The sequence below is a fragment of the Homo sapiens genome, chromosome 4, assembly GCF_000001405.40.
Source record: "Homo sapiens chromosome 4, GRCh38.p14 Primary Assembly".
NCBI lineage: Eukaryota > Metazoa > Chordata > Mammalia > Primates > Hominidae > Homo > Homo sapiens.
The window spans coordinates 173,252,889-173,263,171 of NC_000004.12; the positions used below are offsets into that span (position 1 = coordinate 173,252,889).

The window sequence follows — 10,283 nt, forward strand, 5'->3', positions numbered from 1 at the left end:
AGTTACAGGGGAGTCAGAAAAGGATACTTTGCCAGGCATGGTGGCTCATGCCTGTAATCCCAGCACTTTCAGAGGCTGAGGTGGGCTGATCGCATGAGTCCAGGAGTTCGAGACCAGCCTGGGCAACATGGTAAAACCCCATCTCTACCAAAAATACAAAAAAATCAGCTGGGCGTGTTGGCGCATCCCTCTGGTCTCTTCTACTTGGGAGGCTGAGGTGAGAGGATCCCTTGAGCCTAGGAGGCAGAGGTTGCAGTGAGCCGAGATCACACCACTGCACTCCAGCCTGAGTGATAGAGTGAGAGCCCATCTCAAAGAAAAGTAAAAGATAGTTTTCTTTTCTGAGGGGGATACTAGGGAAGACCCTGAAGGATGAGTAGGGTGCCTTCAGGAAGAGGGCACTTGAACATGTAGTAGAAGACATGAGCATGTAGTGCGGTTTACTTGGATCTGGAGGTATGTGGAGGGAAATACAGCTGGGAAGATAGTAGGGCATTGGAAGACTACATGCCATTCACAGAGTCTACATTGAATCTGGTATTTGGGAAGACCCACTGAAGGTTTATAAAGAGAACTTTGGGGATTTCAAACTAGTAGAGGTGTTAGAGTAGATTAGGGGGTGGAGGCCTGTTAGAGGGTTAGTGGCATTTGAGTGGGAACTCCAGTGGAGGTTATAGAACCAGAAAAAGGAGATTCAGTGTAAGAGAACAAAAGAGTTAGAAGCAGTAGGCCTTGGGAGGTGATGGAGTGGAAGGGGAAATCAAAGATAAATCCAAGGCTTTGAAGCTCAGTAACACAAAGAGGAGTGGTGCCATTAACAGAAAGAGGCTGGTTAGGATAGAACAGTCCACTCTGCCCAAAGCTCGTTTACCTGAACTGGTCTGCTGCCCGGTTTAGATGAATTCATGCAGAGCCAGTCAGGATAAGGAGCCTGTTTATGGGAAGAAGTAGAAAATTCTGTTTGTGGATAGGTTAGATTTTCTTCTGATAAAGTTTGGGATTTTATTTCCTTTTACTGTGAACTGCTGATGCAAACACTTGGAAATATTCTTACCCTTTTTTTCTGCCCAACAAAGCAGACAATCGGAGGTATTCTGATTCAAACAAATGAATTAAATATTTTGACTTATTGAATGAATTCATTTGCTTCTAATATTTAACCTTTTCTCCCACTTACACACCTTTTGCATTTCTGTTTTGTAGAAAAGCTATCTTAGTTGCAATTACAAAGTGAGATGATAGATGTAAAAGTGCTTTGAAAATTCTAAGAGCTATGCACATGTTAGTAAGATCGTTAATATCTTTCTTAAGCTTGTCTATGGGAAATATTTTTTAAAAAGATATTTTACATTTACACTCATGCCTTATATGCCAGATAATTCTCCTCTTACCTGAGTCCAAAATAAATATTAATTCTTATACTGTAATTTTATCTAAGGTGAATTGTGTTTGTGAGGTTTTCTTATTCTCTATCCATATTAAAGGTTCTCTTTGATATCTACCAAGCTATTTAGAATGTATTGCTATAATTTATAAAATGGTTGCTATTTTTAAAACATTGATTTAATTGGAATGCTATAGCTTTCCTTTTAGTTTTGTTTTATGTATCTTGATCCATAGATTTCAGCTAGAGCTAAAACCTTAAACTACTCATAAAACATTAAGACAAATATTTAGAATATATAGAAATCATACATACACATACATATATGAATCATGTATATGCAGAGGTATTTGTACTTTGCCCTAGTTTCTGTTTTTGGAATATGTGGTGGTTCTATGTGACCATCCAAACTAATTGATGACAATTTTTCACACACAATCCCTTTTTTACATAGATTGCCCAAAACATATTTTATTTTTCAGACTACAGTTTGGCAATTTTAGGTCTAATGTTCAGAAAACACATTTGAAAGTGGTTTCACATGACCCAAGATGGACATGTTGCTTACTGACCTGAAAATTTTTACTCTTGGAAACTAGACTACTTTGTGAATTCAGGGGTTTTCCAGATTTACTTTAAAATAAGTCCTTGTGTTCTGATGTCTACTTTTCTTCTTCACACACATATAAACACAAAAACATATACACATTGCATGTTAGAATTTTCTCAAGTTGATTTTTGTTTAAGGTTCTGGCTAACAACAGATGCATTTAGACAAACTGAAATTATTTTAAAAAACAGGAGTTAACTTACGTTACCCCCATTTCTACAGCAGTTTAGGGAGGTACCATATTTATTTCAGTGAGGCTACAAAAACTGGAAATCAAGGTAACTTGTTTCTCTAAACTTCCATTAGCAGAGTAGCAGCAATCTTGAATCCCTCTCTCCCTGAAGTGCCTTCTTACCCTTGATAGGTTCTAGATGGCTCCCTTCCCTTGGTGGAAACGTCCTTCTGCTGCCCAGACCTCATTTGGTTGATGAGAGCCTTCCCACTCTCTGGTTATTGTCCAAGTTGCTCTATTGACAGAGGATTTATCTTCATTTCCCCTCTCTTCATCCCTCTAGCTCTGCCACCAATGTTACAATTCACAAAGTATGCCTGATAAAAAGTTATAAACTCACGTTGCATTTATTGTATTTTCACAGACCTCTACCCCCAACTACGAATTTAGAAAAAGTTTCCTGGAGACTAGTTTGAAAAATATTTACGGTGGCACCACTAGATATCCCATAACAACCCACCCCAGTGACAGACAATTTCAGGAAAACCTTGACTCTTTTTTTCTCTCCGAATAAGTCTTTTGCCCATGGGAAACACCAACACAGAGATTAAGGGATGTTTTTTGTACCCTTTCCTCCTAGAGCATCTCAGTGTTTGAGCTAACAGTCTTTTCAAAGTATTTAGTCATTGTTCTCTGCCAAAAGGTGATCAGTTCCTTCCGAAAGACAGCCTGTGCCAATAGACCCAGACATGCTAGAGTGCAGTGTGCATGGCGGAACACACGCCCCTTTCCCTCAGTGGGTCAGCATGGTCACCTTTGGTAATTTAGCTCAGACTATTCCAGAACCATTAGATACAGGCTGTCTACTACAATATATGTTTCTTTGATGCATATTGGCTCCTGTGTGTTTGGTAAATAGGGAAATTATATCAATTCAGTGTGTAAGTTTTTGTGGTTCATAGATTTCCTCTTGCATATTAATGTTTGGAAGTGATCAGGAATAAGGTTTCTCACAGCTAAAGAGACAGCCATAAAAAATTATTTATGAAGACCTTAAGGGGAAAAAATTCTCTTCTGCAGAAGTGTTTTTATTTAGTGAAAGAAATGGGGAGTTTACCGGCTTTAAGACTCACTCACTGTAGTTGCCGCTATATTTAGCTGTCTGAAGAAGCTGCACGTGCATCCAAAGAAACTGAGAAGGAAACTGATTGATGAAGAAGGCCATCCTTGGATCATACTTTTAATTTTGGTGAAATTGCTCTGTTATTAGAAATGAATGTCTCCAAAGACCTACAAAAAGGAAAACACAAGCCTATGGGTTTTAAGTTTGCAAAGGATGGACTGTCATACGAAATGCAAAAATTAGTTGCAATTTTAACTGTGCTGATTGGTTTTGGTTTCTTTAGGGCTCTGGTCCCAAAGTTCCTAAAGTTTGTGTGGTCTGGTCATTGTCCCTATTTTTTTTTTAAGTCCTATTGCCCTCCCTCTCTCCCTCCCTCCCTCCCTTCCTTCCTTCCCGTATTTTTTTTCTGAAGTCTTTCTTTCTTTCTTTGTTACTTTCTTTGTTTCTTTCTTTCGCATACCCTTGCAAAACAGAGATTGCTAGGACTACATATACGAGGCAGAAATGCCTATAATTGCACCTAAAAGGTAGGCATAGCCAGACTGCTGGGCTTAGGGCTATGCTATGACTGCTTTGCATAATATAGCCATAATATAAAAGGAAGAATGGGAGATATTTTCTATATTTTAGATTAATAATTTACATGACACTGTCTAGCTGGTAAACCAAGCATAAACCAACACTTATATAGAAGGAATATCCCCTACCTCTCCATTTATTGTAGAAGCAGAGCATCTATTCTGAAAAATAGACGACTCTCAATAGACAGCAAGGATTACATATGGCCACAATGGGGAGAAACTTGGCCCAGTTTAGAGCCAGGACTCAATTTTGCCATAGTCGGCTATAAAACTCCAGATGACTTCACTCTTTACATTTACACATGTAGATCTTTACCTCTGGAATATCTGGTAAAAGGACCTGCGTTGGAGAGAAGGCAATCTTTAAAAGTAGTTGAACCAGGCTAGAGGCAGTTAGGGGAGGCTTCCTTCCTCTCATTCTGAGTTTAAAATTGACTTCAACTCCTTGATCTATAGGAATCATTTGTGACAGTTTCCCCATGGTTAAGGCAAGTCATTGGAGAGAGCTGTAAAGCAAGATCATAAGCACCAATTTTTTTTTCTTCAGAAAGGATTGTAGAAGTAGTAATATGAATAATGGTTGAATAATTGTTATATAACTTCTTGAATGCACTTATAAATAAGTTAATTATCTTTGCTCATTTTAAGCTGAATATGTAAAAGGTACACTTGGTATATCATAAATAGATTTAGTCTTTCATCATTTTTGCAAGATACAAGTTGAAAGTGCTAAGAAGGAAAAAGGGCTTAGCACCAAAGCCAAGCTAATTACATGAGTTAAAATTATATAAATAATATAGTTTAATTACATTCAGTAAACTTTTAGTCTGTCCCTGGGAAATGACCTGTAGCTTTGCTTCCCTCTTCACTGAATCCTAGGGGAGATTCCACTCTTCAAAATGTAGCTATTGTATAGGAGGTAAATCACATTTTTAATAGCCTGGTGACTTATTTTAGAATGAACCCTGCCATTTTAATCAAATGGAAAATATTCGTGCATTCTCCAGAGTAGAAAGGCCCAGTGAGCGAACTAAAACCATGATAAGGGCTCTAGAGAAAGATTTGAGAATCTAAACTCCACATTCTTAAGACCCTGGAGATTCACAAGTGTCACTTTAAAGGAAAGTGTTGTAGTCTTCAGTAGAAGGATGTACTTCAACTTTTGTGAGGCAGGAGCTCCCTCCAGAGTCCACACGTGGTAAGCTGCAGGCCTGCTGGAGTGGGTCCCCATCCAAGGAAGATATTTAAGGCTGATTTCTTCTCCCAGTGAGATTGAGTTGGGGAAGGGGTATTAAAGGAGGACAGAGAAACTCTCTTGAAAGCTTCTATTGAAGTCTGTGTAAACACAACTACTTAAGAAAGCAGCCTTGGGTATTCTTATTTAAATCAAATACAAAGAAGAATCTATCTATCTTCTGGGCAGACAATAATGTAACCTAGACTAGAGTTTGGTTGGTTCTTGACCTCATATCTTCTGTCATTGTGGTACTAGTCTCTGGCTCCAGGGTCATATGCCAGATGTTGAGGCTGATGAGTGGAAGGGCTGGAATTAACAGTGTGCTAAGGGTGTGCACCAGTAGACATAGAGTGGCCCAGAAAGGGTTCAGCCCTAGTGTACTTATTTACACTTGTTTATATGGTTTTCAGGAATACTTCTCGATCACTTCAAATGAGGTCTAAGCTGTGTCTTCCACTTCCACATAATTAACTCTGTTGCTGTGACTGCTGCTTTTCTTATCTCTCTGTTGCAGCAGCTGATGGAGATGGGGGGGCCTCAGTCAGTGACAGTAAGGATCAGCAGCATCACTGTCCCTGTGTTACACCTATATGCCTAGCAGTATGCTGGGTTTTTAAATGTACTATCTCCTGTGCTTATAACCATACTGAGATAGTATATTTTCAATTTCACTATATTTTTGGATGATGAAAGTGAGGCTCAGAGAACTAGAAAACTTGCAGGTCACGTAACTCGAAGATGGAGATCCTGGGACTCAAATTCTGGCATATACACCCATTGCCTTGTTAGGGATGCTAACAGCCAAGAGGTTGTGTTCCAGTTTGCTACAGGACATTAACTTCTTTTTACAGGGAAAGTTAGAAAAAGGTAAAAGGCAAAGGTTTAGTGTGTCATTATTGCAGAATTTTTTCTTGCCTCCTAAGACAGGGTTTCACAATCTCGGCACTTGACATTTGGGCCAGATAATTCTTTGTTGACAGTTCTTTGTCCTGTACATTGTAGGATGTTTAGCAGCATCTGTGGCATCTACCCACTAGATGTCAGGAACACACACATCCGCTTCCACCTCCCTAGTTGTGACAACCAGTTCTCCAGATGTTGCCACATGCCCCCTGGGGGGCAAAATCACCCCTGATTAAAAATCACTGCTGTAAGGGGTTAATTGAGGTAATGTTATGGGAGGAGGGTGTGACACAATGAAAATAACAGAGATGGATTTATAGGATTAAGGGGAAGAATTGGAACAGATTGATGAAATGGGACAAATAGATAGGAAGACTTTGTCCTAAGATGAAGATAGTTGTTAGATTAGTGGAGGGGGTTACATGCAGGTTCACAGGCTCCATCATGGCAGATCTGAATATTGTTGGTGGTAGTACAGTAATCATTCATGGATGCATTTATAACTCTTTCTCTCTTCTCCCTCCTCCCGCTTTTTTTTTTTTTAATAACAAATACCGGGAGTGGAGAAAAAAGATCCAATCCTGCTATTTCTCTAGTTCTACCTTTTGGCCAGTTGGTGGCCACTGAGGGCGTTTCAGAATTTGGTGTATATTTGTCCAAACTTTATTCTGAGTTATATTAAACTCATTCTCCTCTTGAATTATCCTCCTTATTTCTTATTTCCATTACTTGGTTTTGTTTTTTGTTTTGTTTTTGAGAGAGAGCGTCTCCCTCTGTCGCCCAGGCTGGAATGCAGTGGCACGATCTCAGCTCACTGCAACCTCTGCCTCCTGGGTTCAAGTGATTTTACCACCTCATCCTCTCCAGTAGCTGGGATCCCAGGTGCCCGCCACCACGCCCAGCTAGTTTTTGTATTTTTAGCAGAGACGGGGTTTTGCCTTGTTGGCCAGGCTGGTCTCGAACTCTTGACCTCAGGTGATCCACCCACCTCAGCCTCCCAAAGTACTGGGATTACAGGCGTGAGCCACCATGCCCGGCCCATTTCTTGTATTTTTAATTAGAAGAATTGCTAATACCTGTGGGGGGAAATTATTTGAAGTAACAAGAAAAATATCAATCATGCTTATTTTATTAACCTTCAAAGACAATTTTACAGTATACTTATCAGGACTATTATAAGAAATTCACTTATAAATATTGTAGTTACATACCATCGAATGCCAGAATGAATTATACAAAGGTAAAGTACGTAACAATACTATGAGTCCTTGCTCAGTGTCTTCAATAGGTTCAGGAAGAAGATGTACAATGAAGCTAATTTTACCATAGGCAAATTGATATTGTTGACTGAAGGAAAAAAATTTAAGCTTTTAAATAATTAAAGTTAGTTCTATTTGGAAGTCTTACTGAGGACTATAGACTGAGGCTTATAACCCAGAAGCAATTCTGTCAGGCTGTTTTAAGGCAGTATTTTAGTTTATGGTTTACATGTAGGTGGTGAAGATTTAATATGTGTAAAATTATATCTAAGTTTCAGTGTAAGAGTATATTTGGTGATAGGTTATAGAAGTATAATCATTAATTTTGTCAAATGTTATTTTATGTATAGGAAAAGACAAGGACTAGGATCATTGATCTTTTAAGAAATGTAGTGACTGAGGCAAGAGTTGTGGTGGGGCCATGTGTTTTATTTTGTTTTGTCTTTAAAGTATTTTTTACAGAGCTGTATGTCATCACTGAATCAAGAGCTTTGTGAAATTATGTTGGCAAGTAGAAATGAGCATGCCTTTTTATGTTTGTTATTGTGCCTTACAACATAAACAAGAGTCAAGTTCCTATGGCATGTTTCTGGTCACAAAAATATCACCAAACTTCTAAGTAAGGACCAAAATACTTCTAATATTAAATATTGAAATAAATGTGAAGTATGCATACATTTAATAAATATTAATAAAAACAAGTAAGATGATGATTTACTCAATTTTTGGTGAACCCATGAGTGATGGTACTCATAGTGGTGGTGAATTTAATCAACGAGTAAACGTTTACGAAGCGAAAATTGTCAGGAGTACCTTCCACCACCATGCAGTTCAAAAACAAGCAATAACAAATGTGGGGAGCTTGCTGAGCGCTTCTGTCCCACATCATTTATTGTCCTGCATCTGTATAATTGTCGTCTACATTACACATTTTTATTTCACAGTAATTTGTATTTATTCATATAATTTGCAATCCACTCATTCCAGTTTAGGGTGGTGTGCAGCCAGAACAAATTCTGGCTGCTGAAAACACAAGATGGGCACCCTCCCTGGCCAGGACGCCATCCTATCACAGGTGTACTCAGACACACCCATACTCATTCACCCTAGGCTATGTAGACACAGCATTTCACCTAATGGGCACAGCTTGGGGATGTATATCCAGAGAAAACCCATGCAGACAAGGGAAGGGTGTGCAAACTCTACCCAGACAGTGGCATCAGTTTTTTTTTGTTTTTTTTTTTCTCATCAGCATTAAAACAAAACAAGGTTGAATGAGGCAATGTTATTCAAGGACCTGCACTACACTTATTTAATAACTTGGCTTGTCAGAGCTTACAGAGCACCCTTTAACGTGCTTAAAAAATAGATAGCTACAGCTGGGCATGGCAGCTCACGCCTGTAATCCCAGCACTTTGGGAGGCCAAGGCGGGTGGATCACCTGAGGCCAGGAGTTCGAGACCAGCCTGGCCAACATGGTGAAACCTCATCTCTACTAAAAATAAAAAAAAATTAGCCAGGTGTGGTGGCACGCACCTGTAATCCCAGCTTCTCAGGAGGCTGAGGCAGCAGAATTGCTTGAACCCGGAAGGTGGAGGCTGCAGTGAACTGAGACTGTGCCACTGTACTTCAGCCTGGGGGACAGAGCCAGACTCAGTCTCAAAAAAAATTTAAAAAATAAAAAATAATAGATAGCTGCAAATAATTAGGCTTTTATTTATGTCAGTTAACTATCAAAATATACAACATTGAAATTAAAATAAAATTTTAATCGTTAATTCATTTAAGAATAATAATTTCATTACATATTACATATTTTATGAAAATAATTTTTTTAAAATTAAAAGAAACGAGTATCATTGTCTTAGATTTTTACCAACTTCTGTAATGTCTGGCTTATAGAAGATAACTGAATTCCAACACCTACCTCTGCATTCAGTCTATGCCCCTGGGTTGTTTTAGTTGAAATATATGAAGAAAATCTGGCCTCACTCAGATATGTAATTGCAAAAGGGGGGAGCATTTTAATAGCTTTTTTCAAGTAATTGTGGATACTCCTTTTTGATACTGTACTAAAAACTAGTGGTAGTTTTTTAAAAAAGTAGCTGCAATATAGAATCTGAAAGCATAAAAAAGAACCTTTAGTACTGTTTCTAGTCTGTCTTGCACTTTAACAGGACATTTTACCATTGTATGATGCTGTAATATCAGGAGTTGGTCATTTGGAAAATATTGGTTTCCCAAGTAATGCAGATCTTTTAAATATTGACAATTTCATTATATAATGATAAGAACAATACATTTGTTAACATCATCATCAGTCTCATTGGAAAGGCCTTAACTCCTGAGAAACTGTCATATTTCCAAATTTCTTAGTTTCGCCTGAGAGCTCAAGTTTTGTCATTGGCAACAAGTGATGTCAGTTGTTTTTGTTGAAGTGACAGGCTCCCTTCATTCATGTTCAAAAAACTTCCAGATAACCAATCTCAGTGACCATAGTTTGTCCTTTGTTTCTTTCAAGTGAAAATGGCATTCTATTAAAAAATAAATCATAAAAACTTATTCAGCATACAGATCAGTCTCAGACGCTTTTCCTTGACACACCCATCATAGTTGAATATCTAATAGAAGTCTTTCATGCATACTTCCCATTTCGTCTCACAGAATATTAAAAAGGCATACACTCAAGGGATTTAATAAAATTAATAAATCTTCATCAAGGAAGACTTACTGCTTCATCAAGGTCATTCAGTGTAAGTGGTATGTGTTTTATATTTAGGGTATATTTATGAAGGTATATTAAGTATATTAGGGTATATTATTATGAAGAATAACTTAAATATGGGTACCATTTGGTGTCATTGCCTTGATTTATGCTAAGGCACCAGCAGTTTTACCCACTTTGCTTTGGTACCATCAGAGTAAATATCCACACAGTGAAAAAGATAGTATCTTCATATGATCAGCAAAATAATTTTGACCTCACCAAACTTCAGAAAGGGCCTTGGGGACCC

The 10,283-nt window shown here is 38.2% G+C and overlaps 1 protein-coding gene and 1 long non-coding RNA gene across 12 annotated transcripts in view, besides 1 other annotated feature; one reads left to right on the forward strand and one right to left on the reverse strand.

The window, feature by feature from the left end:
• The window catches only part of GALNT7 (polypeptide N-acetylgalactosaminyltransferase 7), a 155,157-nt gene that overhangs the window by 84,078 nt on the left and 60,796 nt on the right, over positions 1–10,283 (forward strand). The gene's annotated exons all lie outside the window — the stretch shown is intronic.
• Positions 1,879–1,928: an enhancer, noted in NCBI's record as "active region_22156". NCBI's record gives its function as "activates an Ori minimal core promoter by ATAC-STARR-seq in GM12878 lymphoblastoid cells {active_cell/tissue: GM12878}" and the evidence as "EXISTENCE:reporter gene assay evidence [ECO:0000049][PMID:35858748]".
• LOC124900812 (uncharacterized) overlaps positions 3,630–10,283 on the reverse strand; it is a 32,965-nt gene continuing 26,311 nt past the window's right edge. The window contains exon 3 of the long non-coding RNA XR_007058367.1: positions 3,630–9,803. This is a non-coding gene — a long non-coding RNA (uncharacterized LOC124900812). The remainder of the gene's footprint in view (positions 9,804–10,283) is intronic.